This window comes from Homo sapiens, chromosome 4 (assembly GCF_000001405.40).
Source record: "Homo sapiens chromosome 4, GRCh38.p14 Primary Assembly".
In the NCBI taxonomy this organism is placed as follows: Eukaryota; Metazoa; Chordata; class Mammalia; order Primates; family Hominidae; genus Homo; species Homo sapiens.
The window spans coordinates 9,322,917-9,350,722 of NC_000004.12; the positions used below are offsets into that span (position 1 = coordinate 9,322,917).

General features: G+C 49.6%; 6 protein-coding genes across 6 annotated transcripts; all 6 read left to right on the top strand.

Moving 5' to 3' along the window:
* The first annotated feature begins 2,248 nt into the window (after window positions 1-2,248).
* USP17L24 (ubiquitin specific peptidase 17 like family member 24) lies at window positions 2,249-3,841 on the top strand. The gene has a single exon (NM_001242327.1). The coding sequence runs from the start codon at window positions 2,249-2,251 to the stop codon at window positions 3,839-3,841; it is 1,593 nt and encodes a 530-aa protein (NP_001229256.1).
* A 3,153-nt stretch (window positions 3,842-6,994) lies between these two features.
* USP17L25 (ubiquitin specific peptidase 17 like family member 25) lies at window positions 6,995-8,587 on the top strand. The gene has a single exon (NM_001242326.1). The coding sequence runs from the start codon at window positions 6,995-6,997 to the stop codon at window positions 8,585-8,587; it is 1,593 nt and encodes a 530-aa protein (NP_001229255.1).
* A 3,154-nt stretch (window positions 8,588-11,741) lies between these two features.
* Window positions 11,742-13,334, top strand: USP17L26 (ubiquitin specific peptidase 17 like family member 26). Its single transcript, NM_001242328.1, has one exon. It carries the CDS (start codon window positions 11,742-11,744, stop codon window positions 13,332-13,334), a length of 1,593 nt encoding a protein of 530 aa, NP_001229257.1.
* A 3,152-nt stretch (window positions 13,335-16,486) lies between these two features.
* Window positions 16,487-18,079, top strand: USP17L5 (ubiquitin specific peptidase 17 like family member 5). Its single transcript, NM_001242329.1, has one exon. The coding sequence runs from the start codon at window positions 16,487-16,489 to the stop codon at window positions 18,077-18,079; it is 1,593 nt and encodes a 530-aa protein (NP_001229258.1).
* Window positions 18,080-21,231: 3,152 nt separating this feature from the next.
* Window positions 21,232-22,824, top strand: USP17L27 (ubiquitin specific peptidase 17 like family member 27). The gene has a single exon (NM_001242330.1). It carries the CDS (start codon window positions 21,232-21,234, stop codon window positions 22,822-22,824), a length of 1,593 nt encoding a protein of 530 aa, NP_001229259.1.
* A 3,152-nt stretch (window positions 22,825-25,976) lies between these two features.
* On the top strand, window positions 25,977-27,569 carry USP17L28 (ubiquitin specific peptidase 17 like family member 28). The gene has a single exon (NM_001242331.1). It carries the CDS (start codon window positions 25,977-25,979, stop codon window positions 27,567-27,569), a length of 1,593 nt encoding a protein of 530 aa, NP_001229260.1.
* The last annotated feature ends 237 nt before the right edge of the window (window positions 27,570-27,806 follow it).

Below are 27,806 nucleotides of genomic sequence, written 5' to 3' on the forward strand. Positions count from 1 at the left end.
GATCCGACGTGGTGTTTCCGTGGAAATGATTGTGGGAAATGGCCCCTTCCTTTTCTCTATTTGCTGATTAGACTTCATGGTCCCTTTCTCGTCAGGTACAGTGATCAAAGTTGACCAACCCCAGAGGAAAGCTGCCCAGGGCACAACTCAGGGCTCCGTAGAACCACAGAATCTTGGGCGCAACCCTGCTCAAGCACCCAAATGTGCATACGAACAGGGTCTCCGTGTGACGTGTGTGAAAACTACAGTGTGATGAGCATGACTGGCAGACAGCTTATCGATTGGGCTCCCCTCAAAATCGGTTATGAGCATTCAAGCACACCGATGCCCAGGTCCCGGCTGCAGGAATAAGACCCTCCAGGGTCTTGTGTGAAGCCTCGGCATCTGCATTGCTCATGCTTCTGGGGATCATTCTCCTGAAAATGGTGGCTCCTTTCTCCCTGTGGAGCATCTTTCTAAGCAGTGCTCTTTTCTTCCCCCAGGACACTTTACATCCGGCACAGGAAGCCTTCTGATGGAGCACACCTGGCCCATGAAAAGACAAGGGAAAGAAACGGGGCCAAAGGTCACAGTCCTCTCATCCCATCATCCTCCTTAAAATCATCCTAATTTCATGGGCCCTGAAGCCAGGGCTGTTTCTTTACACCTAGAGGCCTTGGCGCCGGGCCTCAATTCCGCCCTGTTCCTTACCGTCTAAGACATGTTGGGAAAATCCCTAGAGCCAGGATCTTCATTCCTGCTAAGCCAGACAGCCGGAAGACACACCCAAATTCTGTCCCTCTTACTTCAGGGAACATGTCCACTTTCGGCAGCATTACAATTTTGGCACCAAATGTGCTAACTGCAATTCCACCATACAATGCGTAACTGGAAATGGAGGCAACATCTCCGATCCTGAACGATCGATGCGAGAATCCAGGATATGCACGGCTTATTTTGGCCTTTTCCCACTGAAACAAGGGCCAGTATTAAAAATGGCACGCTATCCTCTGTTTCACTCCCTGCTTTTAAACGTCTCCGATGTTTCTCCCTGAGACAGGGCCTCACTTCCGTCAGCCGGGCTTTTCTACGGTATAATTTTCCTTGTTTGCTTTTGTCCAAATTAGAACTTTTTATTTCATCTCTAGGAAACGTTGATCCATTATCACATACGTATGGAAATATTATCACACATGCTGTGAGATACGTTGTTTTTATTTTCATCAATTCCTTAATAAACAAAAGGTTATAGCTGGGATACCTTCTGAGTTCTCAAGTTTTTTGTTTCGTGTTTTCTTAAACTGCCGTCGCACGTCCGAAACCGCTCACTATGCGGTGTCATGACCGTCTCTCTTTTCTGGCAAACATAAATTTGGGGATTGTCATCAATTAGTCTCTCGGGGATTGCATGATTTCCCCAAAGGCTTTCACAGTCTACTTTGTGCACTGAGTATCTCTTCAAACTTCAGTGCATGTTTCTACCATTTGATGCTTTCTTATTTGGCAATCTAGCTTCCACAAGAGCATTTCATGCAAAGACTTGTCTTGTTCTCCACTGGCAGGTAATTTCACTCGGACAGAGAATCAATAGGCTCAACGTGGAAAGGTTATCGCTGGAAGGTCTGTTTGATTCCACGGATCTCTCCTTTCTCACTAGGGAAGAAAATACGCTGTGCTAAATACTATACTTCATTGACTATTCTCAGGTCAGAAAGCGCACTTTCGACTTCTTGTCCTTCCTTCGCTGAGAGGATGATGGCAGCTGCCAAAAGTACCTACTTGGAGGTTCATCCCAGCACAAACACACACACACACACGCCCCCCCCACACACACACAAACACACTCACACACACACACGCACACGGTTTCCTAGGTAAAGATTTCTTCCCTGCCATTGCTTTACCTAAAATAAGGCAACTGTGAGGCCACTGTCCCAACCCGGTTACACTCCTATTATATGTGCCTATCATCCTGAGGAGTAATTTGATTCAGGTGTTCTGGAAGTCATGCTGTGGGCTGTGTCTGTTGAATTCCCAGCGATGCCAGGGGACACACCCTGTGACTCCTTCCTGAATTGAGTGCTGATATTTGATTGGCTTATCGCGCACCTGATGAGTGGGTGGGGTGTTCGCGGTTGGTGGGGGTGACTTACAGAAGGGCTGATGCGGCCAGAGAGCTCGTCATTTGAAGACTCTCTCGGAAGGGATAGCGTCTTTCTGCAACCTGCGGTCCCAGCAGACAAACCTTGTGATCCTCGTTCCAGTCGACATGGAGGACGACTCACTCTACTTGAGAGGTGAGTGGCAGTTCAACCACTTTTCAAAACTCACATCTTCTCGGCCCGATGCAGCTTTTGCTGAAATCCAGCGGACTTCTCTCCCTGAGAAGTCACCACTCTCATGTGAGACCCGTGTCGACCTCTGTGATGATTTGGCTCCTGTGGCAAGACAGCTTGCTCCCAGGGAGAAGCTTCCTCTGAGTAGCAGGAGACCTGCTGCGGTGGGGGCTGGGCTCCAGAATATGGGAAATACCTGCTACGTGAACGCTTCCTTGCAGTGCCTGACATACACACCGCCCCTTGCCAACTACATGCTGTCCCGGGAGCACTCTCAAACGTGTCATCGTCACAAGGGCTGCATGCTCTGTACTATGCAAGCTCACATCACACGGGCCCTCCACAATCCTGGCCACGTCATCCAGCCCTCACAGGCATTGGCTGCTGGCTTCCATAGAGGCAAGCAGGAAGATGCCCATGAATTTCTCATGTTCACTGTGGATGCCATGAAAAAGGCATGCCTTCCCGGGCACAAGCAGGTAGATCATCACTCTAAGGACACCACCCTCATCCACCAAATATTTGGAGGCTACTGGAGATCTCAAATCAAGTGTCTCCACTGCCACGGCATTTCAGACACTTTTGACCCTTACCTGGACATCGCCCTGGATATCCAGGCAGCTCAGAGTGTCCAGCAAGCTTTGGAACAGTTGGTGAAGCCCGAAGAACTCAATGGAGAGAATGCCTATCATTGTGGTGTTTGTCTCCAGAGGGCGCCGGCCTCCAAGACGTTAACTTTACACACCTCTGCCAAGGTCCTCATCCTTGTATTGAAGAGATTCTCCGATGTCACAGGCAACAAGATTGCCAAGAATGTGCAATATCCTGAGTGCCTTGACATGCAGCCATACATGTCTCAGCCGAACACAGGACCTCTCGTCTATGTCCTCTATGCTGTGCTGGTCCACGCTGGGTGGAGTTGTCACAACGGACATTACTTCTCTTATGTCAAAGCTCAAGAAGGCCAGTGGTATAAAATGGATGATGCCGAGGTCACCGCCTCTAGCATCACTTCTGTCCTGAGTCAACAGGCCTACGTCCTCTTTTACATCCAGAAGAGTGAATGGGAAAGACACAGTGAGAGTGTGTCAAGAGGCAGGGAACCAAGAGCCCTTGGCGCAGAAGACACCGACAGGCGAGCAACGCAAGGAGAGCTCAAGAGAGACCACCCCTGCCTCCAGGCCCCCGAGTTGGACGAGCACTTGGTGGAAAGAGCCACTCAGGAAAGCACCTTAGACCACTGGAAATTCCTTCAAGAGCAAAACAAAACGAAGCCTGAGTTCAACGTCAGAAAAGTCGAAGGTACCCTGCCTCCCGACGTACTTGTGATTCATCAATCAAAATACAAGTGTGGGATGAAGAACCATCATCCTGAACAGCAAAGCTCCCTGCTAAACCTCTCTTCGTCGACCCCGACACATCAGGAGTCCATGAACACTGGCACACTCGCTTCCCTGCGAGGGAGGGCCAGGAGATCCAAAGGGAAGAACAAACACAGCAAGAGGGCTCTGCTTGTGTGCCAGTGATCTCAGTGGAAGTACCGACCCACACGTAGGGGTGCACACACACACGCACACACACAGACACACACATAACTACACCCAGAAGCGCGCACGCAAACACACACACACCCACACAAACACGAACACCGTCAATCCTACATAAACTAATGAGGAGCCCAACTTTCTGTCTCTACAACAGGGACAACTGGATAGTGATGGCTACATCTCAGGATGAGCCCGCATATGGGAAACATCAAGTTTTGGGGTCGTGAGTCTTCCGAACCTCTGGAGGGACTGTCTGAGTGTTTGTGTTCATGATAGGTGACATTCAGTGTGTATTTCTGAATATGACCTACCGACGTGTAGGTTTGCGTGTGAGGTAATTGCAGGGGACTCGGTTTCGTATTTTCTCTTGGGGTGTGTTTCATTCGTCAGTTGTTGGTCGGCATGAGAAGGTGAAATGTGGCTCATGTGGGACATCCGTGGATCATTCTCGCCACCTTGAATAGTGGAAACTGGAATGCATTTGGAAGAGAAGAACGGTGCTCTTCTTTCTTCCCCGGGCTCGCCGTTTTTACACTGGTTCCTGAATGGACCTCAGGCGCCCTGGGACTTGTGCTCTTGCTGGAACCCACATAACGCCGGAAGCGGACAGACCGACTTGCCTGTTTCACGGTGCCCGCTTCCCATGAGTCGAAACGGAAAATTTTCCCACGGGCATGTAAGTCATCTGGAAGTAAGCTGTATTGATAATAAAGGAAAGCAAACACAGGAGTGTGTGTATTCAACTGAAATAAATTCAGAAAGCCCTGAAATCAATCTCACTGGGTGTGTTTAAAAATGGCATTTGGGGAATTTCTGGGTCATTTGTCCAGCTGCGAAAGCTGCATCTCTGAAGCACAGTCCCTGTCCCGCAGTGAGACTTATTGATCCGACGTGGTGTTTCCGTGGAAATGATTGTGGGAAATGGCCCCTTCCTTTTCTCTATTTGCTGATTAGACTTCATGGTCCCTTTCTCGTCAGGTACAGTGATCAAAGTTGACCAACCCCAGAGGAAAGCTGCCCAGGGCACAACTCAGGGCTCCGTAGAACCACAGAATCTTGGGCGCAACCCTGCTCAAGCACCCAAATGTGCATACGAACAGGGTCTCCGTGTGACGTGTGTGAAAACTACAGTGTGATGAGCATGACTGGCAGACAGCTTATCGATTGGGCTCCCCTCAAAATCGGTTATGAGCATTCAAGCACACCGATGCCCAGGTCCCGGCTGCAGGAATAAGACCCTCCAGGGTCTTGTGTGAAGCCTCGGCATCTGCATTGCTCATGCTTCTGGGGATCATTCTCCTGAAAATGGTGGCTCCTTTCTCCCTGTGGAGCATCTTTCTAAGCAGCGCTCTTTTCTTCCCCCAGGACACTTTACATCCGGCACAGGAAGCCTTCTGATGGAGCACACCTGGCCCATGAAAAGACAAGGGAAAGAAACGGGGCCAAAGGTCACAGTCCTCTCATCCCATCATCCTCCTTAAAATCATCCTAATTTCATGGGCCCTGAAGCCAGGGCTGTTTCTTTACACCTAGAGGCCTTGGCGCCGGGCCTCAATTCCGCCCTGTTCCTTACCGTCTAAGACATGTTGGGAAAATCCCTAGAGCCAGGATCTTCATTCCTGCTAAGCCAGACAGCCGGAAGACACACCCAAATTCTGTCCCTCTTACTTCAGGGAACATGTCCACTTTCGGCAGCATTACAATTTTGGCACCAAATGTGCTAACTGCAATTCCACCATACAATGCGTAACTGGAAATGGAGGCAACATCTCCGATCCTGAACGATCGATGCGAGAATCCAGGATATGCACGGCTTATTTTGGCCTTTTCCCACTGAAACAAGGGCCAGTATTAAAAATGGCACGCTATCCTCTGTTTCACTCCCTGCTTTTAAACGTCTCCGATGTTTCTCCCTGAGACAGGGCCTCACTTCCGTCAGCCGGGCTTTTCTACGGTATAATTTTCCTTGTTTGCTTTTGTCCAAATTAGAACTTTTTATTTCATCTCTAGGAAACGTTGATCCATTATCACATACGTATGGAAATATTATCACACATGCTGTGAGATACGTTGTTTTTATTTTCATCAATTCCTTAATAAACAAAAGGTTATAGCTGGGATACCTTCTGAGTTCTCAAGTTTTTTGTTTCGTGTTTTCTTAAACTGCCGTCGCACGTCCGAAACCGCTCACTATGCGGTGTCATGACCGTCTCTCTTTTCTGGCAAACATAAATTTGGGGATTGTCATCAATTAGTCTCTCGGGGATTGCATGATTTCCCCAAAGGCTTTCACAGTCTACTTTGTGCACTGAGTATCTCTTCAAACTTCAGTGCATGTTTCTACCATTTGATGCTTTATTATTTGGCAATCTAGCTTCCACAAGAGCATTTCATGCAAAGACTTGTCTTGTTCTCCACTGGCAGGTAATTTCACTCGGACAGAGAATCAATAGGCTCAACGTGGAAAGGTTATCGCTGGAAGGTCTGTTTGATTCCACGGATCTCTCCTTTCTCACTAGGGAAGAAAATACGCTGTGCTAAATACTATACTTCATTGACTATTCTCAGGTCAGAAAGCGCACTTTCGACTTCTTGTCCTTCCTTCGCTGAGAGGATGATGGCAGCTGCCAAAAGTACCTACTTGGAGGTTCATCCCAGCACAAACACACACACACACACGCCCCCCCCCCCACACACACAAACACACTCACACACACACACGCACACGGTTTCCTAGGTAAAGATTTCTTCCCTGCCATTGCTTTACCTAAAATAAGGCAACTGTGAGGCCACTGTCCCAACCCGGATACACTCCTATTATATGTGCCTATCATCCTGAGGAGTAATTTGATTCAGGTGTTCTGGAAGTCATGCTGTGGGCTGTGTCTGTTGAATTCCCAGCGATGCCAGGGGACACACCCTGTGACTCCTTCCTGAATTGAGTGCTGATATTTGATTGGCTTATCGCGCACCTGATGAGTGGGTGGGGTGTTCGCGGTTGGTGGGGGTGACTTACAGAAGGGCTGATGCGGCCAGAGAGCTCGTCATTTGAAGACTCTCTCGGAAGGGATAGCGTCTTTCTGCAACCTGCGGTCCCAGCAGACAAACCTTGTGATCCTCGTTCCAGTCGACATGGAGGACGACTCACTCTACTTGAGAGGTGAGTGGCAGTTCAACCACTTTTCAAAACTCACATCTTCTCGGCCCGATGCAGCTTTTGCTGAAATCCAGCGGACTTCTCTCCCTGAGAAGTCACCACTCTCATGTGAGACCCGTGTCGACCTCTGTGATGATTTGGCTCCTGTGGCAAGACAGCTTGCTCCCAGGGAGAAGCTTCCTCTGAGTAGCAGGAGACCTGCTGCGGTGGGGGCTGGGCTCCAGAATATGGGAAATACCTGCTACGTGAACGCTTCCTTGCAGTGCCTGACATACACACCGCCCCTTGCCAACTACATGCTGTCCCGGGAGCACTCTCAAACGTGTCATCGTCACAAGGGCTGCATGCTCTGTACTATGCAAGCTCACATCACACGGGCCCTCCACAATCCTGGCCACGTCATCCAGCCCTCACAGGCATTGGCTGCTGGCTTCCATAGAGGCAAGCAGGAAGATGCCCATGAATTTCTCATGTTCACTGTGGATGCCATGAAAAAGGCATGCCTTCCCGGGCACAAGCAGGTAGATCATCACTCTAAGGACACCACCCTCATCCACCAAATATTTGGAGGCTACTGGAGATCTCAAATCAAGTGTCTCCACTGCCACGGCATTTCAGACACTTTTGACCCTTACCTGGACATCGCCCTGGATATCCAGGCAGCTCAGAGTGTCCAGCAAGCTTTGGAACAGTTGGTGAAGCCCGAAGAACTCAATGGAGAGAATGCCTATCATTGTGGTGTTTGTCTCCAGAGGGCGCCGGCCTCCAAGACGTTAACTTTACACACCTCTGCCAAGGTCCTCATCCTTGTATTGAAGAGATTCTCCGATGTCACAGGCAACAAGATTGCCAAGAATGTGCAATATCCTGAGTGCCTTGACATGCAGCCATACATGTCTCAGCCGAACACAGGACCTCTCGTCTATGTCCTCTATGCTGTGCTGGTCCACGCTGGGTGGAGTTGTCACAACGGACATTACTTCTCTTATGTCAAAGCTCAAGAAGGCCAGTGGTATAAAATGGATGATGCCGAGGTCACCGCCTCTAGCATCACTTCTGTCCTGAGTCAACAGGCCTACGTCCTCTTTTACATCCAGAAGAGTGAATGGGAAAGACACAGTGAGAGTGTGTCAAGAGGCAGGGAACCAAGAGCCCTTGGCGCAGAAGACACCGACAGGCGAGCAACGCAAGGAGAGCTCAAGAGAGACCACCCCTGCCTCCAGGCCCCCGAGTTGGACGAGCACTTGGTGGAAAGAGCCACTCAGGAAAGCACCTTAGACCACTGGAAATTCCTTCAAGAGCAAAACAAAACGAAGCCTGAGTTCAACGTCAGAAAAGTCGAAGGTACCCTGCCTCCCGACGTACTTGTGATTCATCAATCAAAATACAAGTGTGGGATGAAGAACCATCATCCTGAACAGCAAAGCTCCCTGCTAAACCTCTCTTCGTCGACCCCGACACATCAGGAGTCCATGAACACTGGCACACTCGCTTCCCTGCGAGGGAGGGCCAGGAGATCCAAAGGGAAGAACAAACACAGCAAGAGGGCTCTGCTTGTGTGCCAGTGATCTCAGTGGAAGTACCGACCCACACGTAGGGGTGCACACACACACGCACACACACAGACACACACATAACTACACCCAGAAGCGCGCACGCAAACACACACACACCCACACAAACACGAACACCGTCAATCCTACATAAACTAATGAGGAGCCCAAGTTTCTGTCTCTACAACAGGGACAACTGGATAGTGATGGCTACATCTCAGGATGAGCCCGCATATGGGAAACATCAAGTTTTGGGGTCGTGAGTCTTCCGAACCTCTGGAGGGACTGTCTGAGTGTTTGTGTTCATGATAGGTGACATTCAGTGTGTATTTCTGAATATGACCTACCGACGTGTAGGTTTGCGTGTGAGGTAATTGCAGGGGACTCGGTTTCGTATTTTCTCTTGGGGTGTGTTTCATTCGTCAGTTGTTGGTCGGCATGAGAAGGTGAAATGTGGCTCATGTGGGACATCCGTGGATCATTCTCGCCACCTTGAATAGTGGAAACTGGAATGCATTTGGAAGAGAAGAACGGTGCTCTTCTTTCTTCCCCGGGCTCGCCGTTTTTACACTGGTTCCTGAATGGACCTCAGGCGCCCTGGGACTTGTGCTCTTGCTGGAACCCACATAACGCCGGAAGCGGACAGACCGACTTGCCTGTTTCACGGTGCCCGCTTCCCATGAGTCGAAACGGAAAATTTTCCCACGGGCATGTAAGTCATCTGGAAGTAAGCTGTATTGATAATAAAGGAAAGCAAACACAGGAGTGTGTGTATTCAACTGAAATAAATTCAGAAAGCCCTGAAATCAATCTCACTGGGTGTGTTTAAAAATGGCATTTGGGGAATTTCTGGGTCATTTGTCCAGCTGCGAAAGCTGCATCTCTGAAGCACAGTCCCTGTCCCGCAGTGAGACTTATTGATCCGACGTGGTGTTTCCGTGGAAATGATTGTGGGAAATGGCCCCTTCCTTTTCTCTATTTGCTGATTAGACTTCATGGTCCCTTTCTCGTCAGGTACAGTGATCAAAGTTGACCAACCCCAGAGGAAAGCTGCCCAGGGCACAACTCAGGGCTCCGTAGAACCACAGAATCTTGGGCGCAACCCTGCTCAAGCACCCAAATGTGCATACGAACAGGGTCTCCGTGTGACGTGTGTGAAAACTACAGTGTGATGAGCATGACTGGCAGACAGCTTATCGATTGGGCTCCCCTCAAAATCGGTTATGAGCATTCAAGCACACCGATGCCCAGGTCCCGGCTGCAGGAATAAGACCCTCCAGGGTCTTGTGTGAAGCCTCGGCATCTGCATTGCTCATGCTTCTGGGGATCATTCTCCTGAAAATGGTGGCTCCTTTCTCCCTGTGGAGCATCTTTCTAAGCAGCGCTCTTTTCTTCCCCCAGGACACTTTACATCCGGCACAGGAAGCCTTCTGATGGAGCACACCTGGCCCATGAAAAGACAAGGGAAAGAAACGGGGCCAAAGGTCACAGTCCTCTCATCCCATCATCCTCCTTAAAATCATCCTAATTTCATGGGCCCTGAAGCCAGGGCTGTTTCTTTACACCTAGAGGCCTTGGCGCCGGGCCTCAATTCCGCCCTGTTCCTTACCGTCTAAGACATGTTGGGAAAATCCCTAGAGCCAGGATCTTCATTCCTGCTAAGCCAGACAGCCGGAAGACACACCCAAATTCTGTCCCTCTTACTTCAGGGAACATGTCCACTTTCGGCAGCATTACAATTTTGGCACCAAATGTGCTAACTGCAATTCCACCATACAATGCGTAACTGGAAATGGAGGCAACATCTCCGATCCTGAACGATCGATGCGAGAATCCAGGATATGCACGGCTTATTTTGGCCTTTTCCCACTGAAACAAGGGCCAGTATTAAAAATGGCACGCTATCCTCTGTTTCACTCCCTGCTTTTAAACGTCTCCGATGTTTCTCCCTGAGACAGGGCCTCACTTCCGTCAGCCGGGCTTTTCTACGGTATAATTTTCCTTGTTTGCTTTTGTCCAAATTAGAACTTTTTATTTCATCTCTAGGAAACGTTGATCCATTATCACATACGTATGGAAATATTATCACACATGCTGTGAGATACGTTGTTTTTATTTTCATCAATTCCTTAATAAACAAAAGGTTATAGCTGGGATACCTTCTGAGTTCTCAAGTTTTTTGTTTCGTGTTTTCTTAAACTGCCGTCGCACGTCCGAAACCGCTCACTATGCGGTGTCATGACCGTCTCTCTTTTCTGGCAAACATAAATTTGGGGATTGTCATCAATTAGTCTCTCGGGGATTGCATGATTTCCCCAAAGGCTTTCACAGTCTACTTTGTGCACTGAGTATCTCTTCAAACTTCAGTGCATGTTTCTACCATTTGATGCTTTATTATTTGGCAATCTAGCTTCCACAAGAGCATTTCATGCAAAGACTTGTCTTGTTCTCCACTGGCAGGTAATTTCACTCGGACAGAGAATCAATAGGCTCAACGTGGAAAGGTTATCGCTGGAAGGTCTGTTTGATTCCACGGATCTCTCCTTTCTCACTAGGGAAGAAAATACGCTGTGCTAAATACTATACTTCATTGACTATTCTCAGGTCAGAAAGCGCACTTTCGACTTCTTGTCCTTCCTTCGCTGAGAGGATGATGGCAGCTGCCAAAAGTACCTACTTGGAGGTTCATCCCAGCACAAACACACACACACACACGCCCCCCCCCCCCACACACACAAACACACTCACACACACACACGCACACGGTTTCCTAGGTAAAGATTTCTTCCCTGCCATTGCTTTACCTAAAATAAGGCAACTGTGAGGCCACTGTCCCAACCCGGATACACTCCTATTATATGTGCCTATCATCCTGAGGAGTAATTTGATTCAGGTGTTCTGGAAGTCATGCTGTGGGCTGTGTCTGTTGAATTCCCAGCGATGCCAGGGGACACACCCTGTGACTCCTTCCTGAATTGAGTGCTGATATTTGATTGGCTTATCGCGCACCTGATGAGTGGGTGGGGTGTTCGCGGTTGGTGGGGGTGACTTACAGAAGGGCTGATGCGGCCAGAGAGCTCGTCATTTGAAGACTCTCTCGGAAGGGATATCGTCTTTCTGCAACCTGCGGTCCCAGCAGACAAACCTTGTGATCCTCGTTCCAGTCGACATGGAGGACGACTCACTCTACTTGAGAGGTGAGTGGCAGTTCAACCACTTTTCAAAACTCACATCTTCTCGGCCCGATGCAGCTTTTGCTGAAATCCAGCGGACTTCTCTCCCTGAGAAGTCACCACTCTCATGTGAGACCCGTGTCGACCTCTGTGATGATTTGGCTCCTGTGGCAAGACAGCTTGCTCCCAGGGAGAAGCTTCCTCTGAGTAGCAGGAGACCTGCTGCGGTGGGGGCTGGGCTCCAGAATATGGGAAATACCTGCTACGTGAACGCTTCCTTGCAGTGCCTGACATACACACCGCCCCTTGCCAACTACATGCTGTCCCGGGAGCACTCTCAAACGTGTCATCGTCACAAGGGCTGCATGCTCTGTACTATGCAAGCTCACATCACACGGGCCCTCCACAATCCTGGCCACGTCATCCAGCCCTCACAGGCATTGGCTGCTGGCTTCCATAGAGGCAAGCAGGAAGATGCCCATGAATTTCTCATGTTCACTGTGGATGCCATGAAAAAGGCATGCCTTCCCGGGCACAAGCAGGTAGATCATCACTCTAAGGACACCACCCTCATCCACCAAATATTTGGAGGCTACTGGAGATCTCAAATCAAGTGTCTCCACTGCCACGGCATTTCAGACACTTTTGACCCTTACCTGGACATCGCCCTGGATATCCAGGCAGCTCAGAGTGTCCAGCAAGCTTTGGAACAGTTGGTGAAGCCCGAAGAACTCAATGGAGAGAATGCCTATCATTGTGGTGTTTGTCTCCAGAGGGCGCCGGCCTCCAAGACGTTAACTTTACACACCTCTGCCAAGGTCCTCATCCTTGTATTGAAGAGATTCTCCGATGTCACAGGCAACAAGATTGCCAAGAATGTGCAATATCCTGAGTGCCTTGACATGCAGCCATACATGTCTCAGCCGAACACAGGACCTCTCGTCTATGTCCTCTATGCTGTGCTGGTCCACGCTGGGTGGAGTTGTCACAACGGACATTACTTCTCTTATGTCAAAGCTCAAGAAGGCCAGTGGTATAAAATGGATGATGCCGAGGTCACCGCCTCTAGCATCACTTCTGTCCTGAGTCAACAGGCCTACGTCCTCTTTTACATCCAGAAGAGTGAATGGGAAAGACACAGTGAGAGTGTGTCAAGAGGCAGGGAACCAAGAGCCCTTGGCGCAGAAGACACCGACAGGCGAGCAACGCAAGGAGAGCTCAAGAGAGACCACCCCTGCCTCCAGGCCCCCGAGTTGGACGAGCACTTGGTGGAAAGAGCCACTCAGGAAAGCACCTTAGACCACTGGAAATTCCTTCAAGAGCAAAACAAAACGAAGCCTGAGTTCAACGTCAGAAAAGTCGAAGGTACCCTGCCTCCCGACGTACTTGTGATTCATCAATCAAAATACAAGTGTGGGATGAAGAACCATCATCCTGAACAGCAAAGCTCCCTGCTAAACCTCTCTTCGTCGACCCCGACACATCAGGAGTCCATGAACACTGGCACACTCGCTTCCCTGCGAGGGAGGGCCAGGAGATCCAAAGGGAAGAACAAACACAGCAAGAGGGCTCTGCTTGTGTGCCAGTGATCTCAGTGGAAGTACCGACCCACACGTAGGGGTGCACACACACACGCACACACACAGACACACACATAACTACACCCAGAAGCGCGCACGCAAACACACACACACCCACACAAACACGAACACCGTCAATCCTACATAAACTAATGAGGAGCCCAAGTTTCTGTCTCTACAACAGGGACAACTGGATAGTGATGGCTACATCTCAGGATGAGCCCGCATATGGGAAACATCAAGTTTTGGGGTCGTGAGTCTTCCGAACCTCTGGAGGGACTGTCTGAGTGTTTGTGTTCATGATAGGTGACATTCAGTGTGTATTTCTGAATATGACCTACCGACGTGTAGGTTTGCGTGTGAGGTAATTGCAGGGGACTCGGTTTCGTATTTTCTCTTGGGGTGTGTTTCATTCGTCAGTTGTTGGTCGGCATGAGAAGGTGAAATGTGGCTCATGTGGGACATCCGTGGATCATTCTCGCCACCTTGAATAGTGGAAACTGGAATGCATTTGGAAGAGAAGAACGGTGCTCTTCTTTCTTCCCCGGGCTCGCCGTTTTTACACTGGTTCCTGAATGGACCTCAGGCGCCCTGGGACTTGTGCTCTTGCTGGAACCCACATAACGCCGGAAGCGGACAGACCGACTTGCCTGTTTCACGGTGCCCGCTTCCCATGAGTCGAAACGGAAAATTTTCCCACGGGCATGTAAGTCATCTGGAAGTAAGCTGTATTGATAATAAAGGAAAGCAAACACAGGAGTGTGTGTATTCAACTGAAATAAATTCAGAAAGCCCTGAAATCAATCTCACTGGGTGTGTTTAAAAATGGCATTTGGGGAATTTCTGGGTCATTTGTCCAGCTGCGAAAGCTGCATCTCTGAAGCACAGTCCCTGTCCCGCAGTGAGACTTATTGATCCGACGTGGTGTTTCCGTGGAAATGATTGTGGGAAATGGCCCCTTCCTTTTCTCTATTTGCTGATTAGACTTCATGGTCCCTTTCTCGTCAGGTACAGTGATCAAAGTTGACCAACCCCAGAGGAAAGCTGCCCAGGGCACAACTCAGGGCTCCGTAGAACCACAGAATCTTGGGCGCAACCCTGCTCAAGCACCCAAATGTGCATACGAACAGGGTCTCCGTGTGACGTGTGTGAAAACTACAGTGTGATGAGCATGACTGGCAGACAGCTTATCGATTGGGCTCCCCTCAAAATCGGTTATGAGCATTCAAGCACACCGATGCCCAGGTCCCGGCTGCAGGAATAAGACCCTCCAGGGTCTTGTGTGAAGCCTCGGCATCTGCATTGCTCATGCTTCTGGGGATCATTCTCCTGAAAATGGTGGCTCCTTTCTCCCTGTGGAGCATCTTTCTAAGCAGCGCTCTTTTCTTCCCCCAGGACACTTTACATCCGGCACAGGAAGCCTTCTGATGGAGCACACCTGGCCCATGAAAAGACAAGGGAAAGAAACGGGGCCAAAGGTCACAGTCCTCTCATCCCATCATCCTCCTTAAAATCATCCTAATTTCATGGGCCCTGAAGCCAGGGCTGTTTCTTTACACCTAGAGGCCTTGGCGCCGGGCCTCAATTCCGCCCTGTTCCTTACCGTCTAAGACATGTTGGGAAAATCCCTAGAGCCAGGATCTTCATTCCTGCTAAGCCAGACAGCCGGAAGACACACCCAAATTCTGTCCCTCTTACTTCAGGGAACATGTCCACTTTCGGCAGCATTACAATTTTGGCACCAAATGTGCTAACTGCAATTCCACCATACAATGCGTAACTGGAAATGGAGGCAACATCTCCGATCCTGAACGATCGATGCGAGAATCCAGGATATGCACGGCTTATTTTGGCCTTTTCCCACTGAAACAAGGGCCAGTATTAAAAATGGCACGCTATCCTCTGTTTCACTCCCTGCTTTTAAACGTCTCCGATGTTTCTCCCTGAGACAGGGCCTCACTTCCGTCAGCCGGGCTTTTCTACGGTATAATTTTCCTTGTTTGCTTTTGTCCAAATTAGAACTTTTTATTTCATCTCTAGGAAACGTTGATCCATTATCACATACGTATGGAAATATTATCACACATGCTGTGAGATACGTTGTTTTTATTTTCATCAATTCCTTAATAAACAAAAGGTTATAGCTGGGATACCTTCTGAGTTCTCAAGTTTTTTGTTTCGTGTTTTCTTAAACTGCCGTCGCACGTCCGAAACCGCTCACTATGCGGTGTCATGACCGTCTCTCTTTTCTGGCAAACATAAATTTGGGGATTGTCATCAATTAGTCTCTCGGGGATTGCATGATTTCCCCAAAGGCTTTCACAGTCTACTTTGTGCACTGAGTATCTCTTCAAACTTCAGTGCATGTTTCTACCATTTGATGCTTTATTATTTGGCAATCTAGCTTCCACAAGAGCATTTCATGCAAAGACTTGTCTTGTTCTCCACTGGCAGGTAATTTCACTCGGACAGAGAATCAATAGGCTCAACGTGGAAAGGTTATCGCTGGAAGGTCTGTTTGATTCCACGGATCTCTCCTTTCTCACTAGGGAAGAAAATACGCTGTGCTAAATACTATACTTCATTGACTATTCTCAGGTCAGAAAGCGCACTTTCGACTTCTTGTCCTTCCTTCGCTGAGAGGATGATGGCAGCTGCCAAAAGTACCTACTTGGAGGTTCATCCCAGCACAAACACACACACACACACGCCCCCCCCCCACACACACAAACACACTCACACACACACACGCACACGGTTTCCTAGGTAAAGATTTCTTCCCTGCCATTGCTTTACCTAAAATAAGGCAACTGTGAGGCCACTGTCCCAACCCGGATACACTCCTATTATATGTGCCTATCATCCTGAGGAGTAATTTGATTCAGGTGTTCTGGAAGTCATGCTGTGGGCTGTGTCTGTTGAATTCCCAGCGATGCCAGGGGACACACCCTGTGACTCCTTCCTGAATTGAGTGCTGATATTTGATTGGCTTATCGCGCACCTGATGAGTGGGTGGGGTGTTCGCGGTTGGTGGGGGTGACTTACAGAAGGGCTGATGCGGCCAGAGAGCTCGTCATTTGAAGACTCTCTCGGAAGGGATAGCGTCTTTCTGCAACCTGCGGTCCCAGCAGACAAACCTTGTGATCCTCGTTCCAGTCGACATGGAGGACGACTCACTCTACTTGAGAGGTGAGTGGCAGTTCAACCACTTTTCAAAACTCACATCTTCTCGGCCCGATGCAGCTTTTGCTGAAATCCAGCGGACTTCTCTCCCTGAGAAGTCACCACTCTCATGTGAGACCCGTGTCGACCTCTGTGATGATTTGGCTCCTGTGGCAAGACAGCTTGCTCCCAGGGAGAAGCTTCCTCTGAGTAGCAGGAGACCTGCTGCGGTGGGGGCTGGGCTCCAGAATATGGGAAATACCTGCTACGTGAACGCTTCCTTGCAGTGCCTGACATACACACCGCCCCTTGCCAACTACATGCTGTCCCGGGAGCACTCTCAAACGTGTCATCGTCACAAGGGCTGCATGCTCTGTACTATGCAAGCTCACATCACACGGGCCCTCCACAATCCTGGCCACGTCATCCAGCCCTCACAGGCATTGGCTGCTGGCTTCCATAGAGGCAAGCAGGAAGATGCCCATGAATTTCTCATGTTCACTGTGGATGCCATGAAAAAGGCATGCCTTCCCGGGCACAAGCAGGTAGATCATCACTCTAAGGACACCACCCTCATCCACCAAATATTTGGAGGCTACTGGAGATCTCAAATCAAGTGTCTCCACTGCCACGGCATTTCAGACACTTTTGACCCTTACCTGGACATCGCCCTGGATATCCAGGCAGCTCAGAGTGTCCAGCAAGCTTTGGAACAGTTGGCGAAGCCCGAAGAACTCAATGGAGAGAATGCCTATCATTGTGGTGTTTGTCTCCAGAGGGCGCCGGCCTCCAAGACGTTAACTTTACACACCTCTGCCAAGGTCCTCATCCTTGTATTGAAGAGATTCTCCGATGTCACAGGCAACAAGATTGCCAAGAATGTGCAATATCCTGAGTGCCTTGACATGCAGCCATACATGTCTCAGCCGAACACAGGACCTCTCGTCTATGTCCTCTATGCTGTGCTGGTCCACGCTGGGTGGAGTTGTCACAACGGACATTACTTCTCTTATGTCAAAGCTCAAGAAGGCCAGTGGTATAAAATGGATGATGCCGAGGTCACCGCCTCTAGCATCACTTCTGTCCTGAGTCAACAGGCCTACGTCCTCTTTTACATCCAGAAGAGTGAATGGGAAAGACACAGTGAGAGTGTGTCAAGAGGCAGGGAACCAAGAGCCCTTGGCGCAGAAGACACCGACAGGCGAGCAACGCAAGGAGAGCTCAAGAGAGACCACCCCTGCCTCCAGGCCCCCGAGTTGGACGAGCACTTGGTGGAAAGAGCCACTCAGGAAAGCACCTTAGACCACTGGAAATTCCTTCAAGAGCAAAACAAAACGAAGCCTGAGTTCAACGTCAGAAAAGTCGAAGGTACCCTGCCTCCCGACGTACTTGTGATTCATCAATCAAAATACAAGTGTGGGATGAAGAACCATCATCCTGAACAGCAAAGCTCCCTGCTAAACCTCTCTTCGTCGACCCCGACACATCAGGAGTCCATGAACACTGGCACACTCGCTTCCCTGCGAGGGAGGGCCAGGAGATCCAAAGGGAAGAACAAACACAGCAAGAGGGCTCTGCTTGTGTGCCAGTGATCTCAGTGGAAGTACCGACCCACACGTAGGGGTGCACACACACACGCACACACACAGACACACACATAACTACACCCAGAAGCGCGCACGCAAACACACACACACCCACACAAACACGAACACCGTCAATCCTACATAAACTAATGAGGAGCCCAAGTTTCTGTCTCTACAACAGGGACAACTGGATAGTGATGGCTACATCTCAGGATGAGCCCGCATATGGGAAACATCAAGTTTTGGGGTCGTGAGTCTTCCGAACCTCTGGAGGGACTGTCTGAGTGTTTGTGTTCATGATAGGTGACATTCAGTGTGTATTTCTGAATATGACCTACCGACGTGTAGGTTTGCGTGTGAGGTAATTGCAGGGGACTCGGTTTCGTATTTTCTCTTGGGGTGTGTTTCATTCGTCAGTTGTTGGTCGGCATGAGAAGGTGAAATGTGGCTCATGTGGGACATCCGTGGATCATTCTCGCCACCTTGAATAGTGGAAACTGGAATGCATTTGGAAGAGAAGAACGGTGCTCTTCTTTCTTCCCCGGGCTCGCCGTTTTTACACTGGTTCCTGAATGGACCTCAGGCGCCCTGGGACTTGTGCTCTTGCTGGAACCCACATAACGCCGGAAGCGGACAGACCGACTTGCCTGTTTCACGGTGCCCGCTTCCCATGAGTCGAAACGGAAAATTTTCCCACGGGCATGTAAGTCATCTGGAAGTAAGCTGTATTGATAATAAAGGAAAGCAAACACAGGAGTGTGTGTATTCAACTGAAATAAATTCAGAAAGCCCTGCAATCAATCTCACTGGGTGTGTTTAAAAATGGCATTTGGGGAATTTCTGGGTCATTTGTCCAGCTGCGAAAGCTGCATCTCTGAAGCACAGTCCCTGTCCCGCAGTGAGACTTATTGATCCGACGTGGTGTTTCCGTGGAAATGATTGTGGGAAATGGCCCCTTCCTTTTCTCTATTTGCTGATTAGACTTCATGGTCCCTTTCTCGTCAGGTACAGTGATCAAAGTTGACCAACCCCAGAGGAAAGCTGCCCAGGGCACAACTCAGGGCTCCGTAGAACCACAGAATCTTGGGCGCAACCCTGCTCAAGCACCCAAATGTGCATACGAACAGGGTCTCCGTGTGACGTGTGTGAAAACTACAGTGTGATGAGCATGACTGGCAGACAGCTTATCGATTGGGCTCCCCTCAAAATCGGTTATGAGCATTCAAGCACACCGATGCCCAGGTCCCGGCTGCAGGAATAAGACCCTCCAGGGTCTTGTGTGAAGCCTCGGCATCTGCATTGCTCATGCTTCTGGGGATCATTCTCCTGAAAATGGTGGCTCCTTTCTCCCTGTGGAGCATCTTTCTAAGCAGCGCTCTTTTCTTCCCCCAGGACACTTTACATCCGGCACAGGAAGCCTTCTGATGGAGCACACCTGGCCCATGAAAAGACAAGGGAAAGAAACGGGGCCAAAGGTCACAGTCCTCTCATCCCATCATCCTCCTTAAAATCATCCTAATTTCATGGGCCCTGAAGCCAGGGCTGTTTCTTTACACCTAGAGGCCTTGGCGCCGGGCCTCAATTCCGCCCTGTTCCTTACCGTCTAAGACATGTTGGGAAAATCCCTAGAGCCAGGATCTTCATTCCTGCTAAGCCAGACAGCCGGAAGACACACCCAAATTCTGTCCCTCTTACTTCAGGGAACATGTCCACTTTCGGCAGCATTACAATTTTGGCACCAAATGTGCTAACTGCAATTCCACCATACAATGCGTAACTGGAAATGGAGGCAACATCTCCGATCCTGAACGATCGATGCGAGAATCCAGGATATGCACGGCTTATTTTGGCCTTTTCCCACTGAAACAAGGGCCAGTATTAAAAATGGCACGCTATCCTCTGTTTCACTCCCTGCTTTTAAACGTCTCCGATGTTTCTCCCTGAGACAGGGCCTCACTTCCGTCAGCCGGGCTTTTCTACGGTATAATTTTCCTTGTTTGCTTTTGTCCAAATTAGAACTTTTTATTTCATCTCTAGGAAACGTTGATCCATTATCACATACGTATGGAAATATTATCACACATGCTGTGAGATACGTTGTTTTTATTTTCATCAATTCCTTAATAAACAAAAGGTTATAGCTGGGATACCTTCTGAGTTCTCAAGTTTTTTGTTTCGTGTTTTCTTAAACTGCCGTCGCACGTCCGAAACCGCTCACTATGCGGTGTCATGACCGTCTCTCTTTTCTGGCAAACATAAATTTGGGGATTGTCATCAATTAGTCTCTCGGGGATTGCATGATTTCCCCAAAGGCTTTCACAGTCTACTTTGTGCACTGAGTATCTCTTCAAACTTCAGTGCATGTTTCTACCATTTGATGCTTTATTATTTGGCAATCTAGCTTCCACAAGAGCATTTCATGCAAAGACTTGTCTTGTTCTCCACTGGCAGGTAATTTCACTCGGACAGAGAATCAATAGGCTCAACGTGGAAAGGTTATCGCTGGAAGGTCTGTTTGATTCCACGGATCTCTCCTTTCTCACTAGGGAAGAAAATACGCTGTGCTAAATACTATACTTCATTGACTATTCTCAGGTCAGAAAGCGCACTTTCGACTTCTTGTCCTTCCTTCGCTGAGAGGATGATGGCAGCTGCCAAAAGTACCTACTTGGAGGTTCATCCCAGCACAAACACACACACACACACGCCCCCCCCCCACACACACAAACACACTCACACACACACACGCACACGGTTTCCTAGGTAAAGATTTCTTCCCTGCCATTGCTTTACCTAAAATAAGGCAACTGTGAGGCCACTGTCCCAACCCGGATACACTCCTATTATATGTGCCTATCATCCTGAGGAGTAATTTGATTCAGGTGTTCTGGAAGTCATGCTGTGGGCTGTGTCTGTTGAATTCCCAGCGATGCCAGGGGACACACCCTGTGACTCCTTCCTGAATTGAGTGCTGATATTTGATTGGCTTATCGCGCACCTGATGAGTGGGTGGGGTGTTCGCGGTTGGTGGGGGTGACTTACAGAAGGGCTGATGCGGCCAGAGAGCTCGTCATTTGAAGACTCTCTCGGAAGGGATAGCGTCTTTCTGCAACCTGCGGTCCCAGCAGACAAACCTTGTGATCCTCGTTCCAGTCGACATGGAGGACGACTCACTCTACTTGAGAGGTGAGTGGCAGTTCAACCACTTTTCAAAACTCACATCTTCTCGGCCCGATGCAGCTTTTGCTGAAATCCAGCGGACTTCTCTCCCTGAGAAGTCACCACTCTCATGTGAGACCCGTGTCGACCTCTGTGATGATTTGGCTCCTGTGGCAAGACAGCTTGCTCCCAGGGAGAAGCTTCCTCTGAGTAGCAGGAGACCTGCTGCGGTGGGGGCTGGGCTCCAGAATATGGGAAATACCTGCTACGTGAACGCTTCCTTGCAGTGCCTGACATACACACCGCCCCTTGCCAACTACATGCTGTCCCGGGAGCACTCTCAAACGTGTCATCGTCACAAGGGCTGCATGCTCTGTACTATGCAAGCTCACATCACACGGGCCCTCCACAATCCTGGCCACGTCATCCAGCCCTCACAGGCATTGGCTGCTGGCTTCCATAGAGGCAAGCAGGAAGATGCCCATGAATTTCTCATGTTCACTGTGGATGCCATGAAAAAGGCATGCCTTCCCGGGCACAAGCAGGTAGATCATCACTCTAAGGACACCACCCTCATCCACCAAATATTTGGAGGCTACTGGAGATCTCAAATCAAGTGTCTCCACTGCCACGGCATTTCAGACACTTTTGACCCTTACCTGGACATCGCCCTGGATATCCAGGCAGCTCAGAGTGTCCAGCAAGCTTTGGAACAGTTGGTGAAGCCCGAAGAACTCAATGGAGAGAATGCCTATCATTGTGGTGTTTGTCTCCAGAGGGCGCCGGCCTCCAAGACGTTAACTTTACACACCTCTGCCAAGGTCCTCATCCTTGTATTGAAGAGATTCTCCGATGTCACAGGCAACAAGATTGCCAAGAATGTGCAATATCCTGAGTGCCTTGACATGCAGCCATACATGTCTCAGCCGAACACAGGACCTCTCGTCTATGTCCTCTATGCTGTGCTGGTCCACGCTGGGTGGAGTTGTCACAACGGACATTACTTCTCTTATGTCAAAGCTCAAGAAGGCCAGTGGTATAAAATGGATGATGCCGAGGTCACCGCCTCTAGCATCACTTCTGTCCTGAGTCAACAGGCCTACGTCCTCTTTTACATCCAGAAGAGTGAATGGGAAAGACACAGTGAGAGTGTGTCAAGAGGCAGGGAACCAAGAGCCCTTGGCGCAGAAGACACCGACAGGCGAGCAACGCAAGGAGAGCTCAAGAGAGACCACCCCTGCCTCCAGGCCCCCGAGTTGGACGAGCACTTGGTGGAAAGAGCCACTCAGGAAAGCACCTTAGACCACTGGAAATTCCTTCAAGAGCAAAACAAAACGAAGCCTGAGTTCAACGTCAGAAAAGTCGAAGGTACCCTGCCTCCCGACGTACTTGTGATTCATCAATCAAAATACAAGTGTGGGATGAAGAACCATCATCCTGAACAGCAAAGCTCCCTGCTAAACCTCTCTTCGTCGACCCCGACACATCAGGAGTCCATGAACACTGGCACACTCGCTTCCCTGCGAGGGAGGGCCAGGAGATCCAAAGGGAAGAACAAACACAGCAAGAGGGCTCTGCTTGTGTGCCAGTGATCTCAGTGGAAGTACCGACCCACACGTAGGGGTGCACACACACACGCACACACACAGACACACACATAACTACACCCAGAAGCGCGCACGCAAACACACACACACCCACACAAACACGAACACCGTCAATCCTACATAAACTAATGAGGAGCCCAAGTTTCTGTCTCTACAACAGGGACAACTGGATAGTGATGGCTACATCTCAGGATGAGCCCGCATATGGGAAACATCAAGTTTTGGGGTCGTGAGTCTTCCGAACCTCTGGAGGGACTGTCTGAGTGTTTGTGTTCATGATAGGTGACATTCAGTGTGTATTTCTGAATATGACCTACCGACGTGTAGGTTTGCGTGTGAGGTAATTGCAGGGGACTCGGTTTCGTATTTTCTCTTGGGGTGTGTTTCATTCGTCAGTTGTTGGTCGGCATGAGAAGGTGAAATGTGGCTCATGTGGGACATCCGTGGATCATTCTCGCCACCTTGAATAGTGGAAACTGGAATGCATTTGGAAGAGAAGAACGGTGCTCTTCTTTCTTCCCCGGGCTCGCCGTTTTTACACTGGTTCCTGAATGGACCTCAGGCGCCCTGGGACTTGTGCTCTTGCTGGAACCCACATAACGCCGGAAGCGGACAGACCGACTTGCCTGTTTCACGGTGCCCGCTTCCCATGAGTCGAAACGGAAAATTTTCCCACGGGCATGTAAGTCATCTGGAAGTAAGCTGTATTGATAATAAAGGAAAGCAAACACAGGAGTGTGTGTATTCAACTGAAATAAATTCAGAAAGCCCTGCAATCAATCTCACTGGGTGTGTTTAAAAATGGCATTTGGGGAATTTCTGGGTCATTTGTCCAGCTGCGAAAGCTGCATCTCTGAAGCACAGTCCCTGTCCCGCAGTGAGACTTATTGATCCGACGTGGTGTTTCCGTGGAAATGATTGTGGGAAATGGCCCCTTCCTTTTCTCTATTTGCTGATTAGACTTCATGGTCCCTTTCTCGTCAGGTACAGTGATCAAAGTTGACCAACCCCAGAGGAAAGCTGCCCAGGGCACAACTCAGGGCTCCGTAGAACCACAGAATCTTGGGCGCAACCCTGCTCAAGCACCCAAATGTGCATACGAACAGGGTCTCCGTGTGACGTGTGTGAAAACTACAGTGTGATGAGCATGACTGGCAGACAGCTTATCGATTGGGCTCCCCTCAAAATCGGTTATGAGCATTCAAGCACACCGATGCCCAGGTCCCGGCTGCAGGAATAAGACCCTCCAGGGTCTTGTGTGAAGCCTCGGCATCTGCATTGCTCATGCTTCTGGGGATCATTCTCCTGAAAATGGTGGCTCCTTTCTCCCTGTGGAGCATCTTTCTAAGCAGCGCTCTTTTCTTCCCCCAGGACACTTTACATCCGGCACAGGAAGCCTTCTGATGGAGCACACCTGGCCCATGAAAAGACAAGGGAAAGAAACGGGGCCAAAGGTCACAGTCCTCTCATCCCATCATCCTCCTTAAAATCATCCTAATTTCATGGGCCCTGAAGCCAGGGCTGTTTCTTTACACCTAGAGGCCTTGGCGCCGGGCCTCAATTCCGCCCTGTTCCTTACCGTCTAAGACATGTTGGGAAAATCCCTAGAGCCAGGATCTTCATTCCTGCTAAGCCAGACAGCCGGAAGACACACCCAAATTCTGTCCCTCTTACTTCAGGGAACATGTCCACTTTCGGCAGCGTTACAATTTTGGCACCAAATGTGCTAACTGCAATTCCACCATACAATGCGTAACTGGAAATGGAGGCAACATCTCCGATCCTGAACGATCGATGCGAGAATCCAGGATATGCACGGCTTATTTTGGCCTTTTCCCACTGAAACAAGGGCCAGTATTAAAAATGGCACGCTATCCTCTGTTTCACTCCCTGCTTTTAAACGTCTCCGATGTTTCTCCCTGAGACAGGGCCTCACTTCCGTCAGCCGGGCTTTTCTACGGTATAATTTTCCTTGTTTGCTTTTGTCCAAATTAGAACTTTTTATTTCATCTCTAGGAAACGTTGATCCATTATCACATACGTATGGAAATATTATCACACATGCTGTGAGATACGTTGTTTTTATTTTCATCAATTCCTTAATAAACAAAAGGTTATAGCTGGGATACCTTCTGAGTTCTCAAGTTTTTTGTTTCGTGTTTTCTTAAACTGCCGTCGCACGTCCGAAACCGCTCACTATGCGGTGTCATGACCGTCTCTCTTTTCTGGCAAACATAAATTTGGGGATTGTCATCAATTAGTCTCTCGGGGATTGCATGATTTCCCCAAAGGCTTTCACAGTCTACTTTGTGCACTGAGTATCTCTTCAAACTTCAGTGCATGTTTCTACCATTTGATGCTTTATTATTTGGCAATCTAGCTTCCACAAGAGCATTTCATGCAAAGACTTGTCTTGTTCTCCACTGGCAGGTAATTTCACTCGGACAGAGAATCAATAGGCTCAACGTGGAAAGGTTATCGCTGGAAGGTCTGTTTGATTCCACGGATCTCTCCTTTCTCACTAGGGAAGAAAATACGCTGTGCTAAATACTATACTTCATTGACTATTCTCAGGTCAGAAAGCGCACTTTCGACTTCTTGTCCTTCCTTCGCTGAGAGGATGATGGCAGCTGCCAAAAGTACCTACTTGGAGGTTCATCCCAGCACAAACACACACACACACACGCCCCCCCCCCACACACACAAACACACTCACACACACACACGCACACGGTTTCCTAGGTAAAGATTTCTTCCCTGCCATTGCTTTACCTAAAATAAGGCAACTGTGAGGCCACTGTCCCAACCCGGATACACTCCTATTATATGTGCCTATCATCCTGAGGAGTAATTTGATTCAGGTGTTCTGGAAGTCATGCTGTGGGCTGTGTCTGTTGAATTCCCAGCGATGCCAGGGGACACACCCTGTGACTCCTTCCTGAATTGAGTGCTGATATTTGATTGGCTTATCGCGCACCTGATGAGTGGGTGGGGTGTTCGCGGTTGGTGGGGGTGACTTACAGAAGGGCTGATGCGGCCAGAGAGCTCGTCATTTGAAGACTCTCTCGGAAGGGATAGCGTCTTTCTGCAACCTGCGGTCCCAGCAGACAAACCTTGTGATCCTCGTTCCAGTCGACATGGAGGACGACTCACTCTACTTGAGAGGTGAGTGGCAGTTCAACCACTTTTCAAAACTCACATCTTCTCGGCCCGATGCAGCTTTTGCTGAAATCCAGCGGACTTCTCTCCCTGAGAAGTCACCACTCTCATGTGAGACCCGTGTCGACCTCTGTGATGATTTGGCTCCTGTGGCAAGACAGCTTGCTCCCAGGGAGAAGCTTCCTCTGAGTAGCAGGAGACCTGCTGCGGTGGGGGCTGGGCTCCAGAATATGGGAAATACCTGCTACGTGAACGCTTCCTTGCAGTGCCTGACATACACACCGCCCCTTGCCAACTACATGCTGTCCCGGGAGCACTCTCAAACGTGTCATCGTCACAAGGGCTGCATGCTCTGTACTATGCAAGCTCACATCACACGGGCCCTCCACAATCCTGGCCACGTCATCCAGCCCTCACAGGCATTGGCTGCTGGCTTCCATAGAGGCAAGCAGGAAGATGCCCATGAATTTCTCATGTTCACTGTGGATGCCATGAAAAAGGCATGCCTTCCCGGGCACAAGCAGGTAGATCATCACTCTAAGGACACCACCCTCATCCACCAAATATTTGGAGGCTACTGGAGATCTCAAATCAAGTGTCTCCACTGCCACGGCATTTCAGACACTTTTGACCCTTACCTGGACATCGCCCTGGATATCCAGGCAGCTCAGAGTGTCCAGCAAGCTTTGGAACAGTTGGTGAAGCCCGAAGAACTCAATGGAGAGAATGCCTATCATTGTGGTGTTTGTCTCCAGAGGGCGCCGGCCTCCAAGACGTTAACTTTACACACCTCTGCCAAGGTCCTCATCCTTGTATTGAAGAGATTCTCCGATGTCACAGGCAACAAGATTGCCAAGAATGTGCAATATCCTGAGTGCCTTGACATGCAGCCATACATGTCTCAGCCGAACACAGGACCTCTCGTCTATGTCCTCTATGCTGTGCTGGTCCACGCTGGGTGGAGTTGTCACAACGGACATTACTTCTCTTATGTCAAAGCTCAAGAAGGCCAGTGGTATAAAATGGATGATGCCGAGGTCACCGCCTCTAGCATCACTTCTGTCCTGAGTCAACAGGCCTACGTCCTCTTTTACATCCAGAAGAGTGAATGGGAAAGACACAGTGAGAGTGTGTCAAGAGGCAGGGAACCAAGAGCCCTTGGCGCAGAAGACACCGACAGGCGAGCAACGCAAGGAGAGCTCAAGAGAGACCACCCCTGCCTCCAGGCCCCCGAGTTGGACGAGCACTTGGTGGAAAGAGCCACTCAGGAAAGCACCTTAGACCACTGGAAATTCCTTCAAGAGCAAAACAAAACGAAGCCTGAGTTCAACGTCAGAAAAGTCGAAGGTACCCTGCCTCCCGACGTACTTGTGATTCATCAATCAAAATACAAGTGTGGGATGAAGAACCATCATCCTGAACAGCAAAGCTCCCTGCTAAACCTCTCTTCGTCGACCCCGACACATCAGGAGTCCATGAACACTGGCACACTCGCTTCCCTGCGAGGGAGGGCCAGGAGATCCAAAGGGAAGAACAAACACAGCAAGAGGGCTCTGCTTGTGTGCCAGTGATCTCAGTGGAAGTACCGACCCACACGTAGGGGTGCACACACACACGCACACACACAGACACACACATAACTACACCCAGAAGCGCGCACGCAAACACACACACACCCACACAAACACGAACACCGTCAATCCTACATAAACTAATGAGGAGCCCAACTTTCTGTCTCTACAACAGGGACAACTGGATAGTGATGGCTACATCTCAGGATGAGCCCGCATATGGGAAACATCAAGTTT

Coding starts and splice junctions, on each gene's coding strand:
- USP17L24 (NM_001242327.1), top strand. CDS start 2,249: ATGGAGGACGACTCACTCTACTTGAGAGGTGAGTGGCAGTTCAACCAC.
- USP17L25 (NM_001242326.1), top strand. CDS start 6,995: ATGGAGGACGACTCACTCTACTTGAGAGGTGAGTGGCAGTTCAACCAC.
- USP17L26 (NM_001242328.1), top strand. CDS start 11,742: ATGGAGGACGACTCACTCTACTTGAGAGGTGAGTGGCAGTTCAACCAC.
- USP17L5 (NM_001242329.1), top strand. CDS start 16,487: ATGGAGGACGACTCACTCTACTTGAGAGGTGAGTGGCAGTTCAACCAC.
- USP17L27 (NM_001242330.1), top strand. CDS start 21,232: ATGGAGGACGACTCACTCTACTTGAGAGGTGAGTGGCAGTTCAACCAC.
- USP17L28 (NM_001242331.1), top strand. CDS start 25,977: ATGGAGGACGACTCACTCTACTTGAGAGGTGAGTGGCAGTTCAACCAC.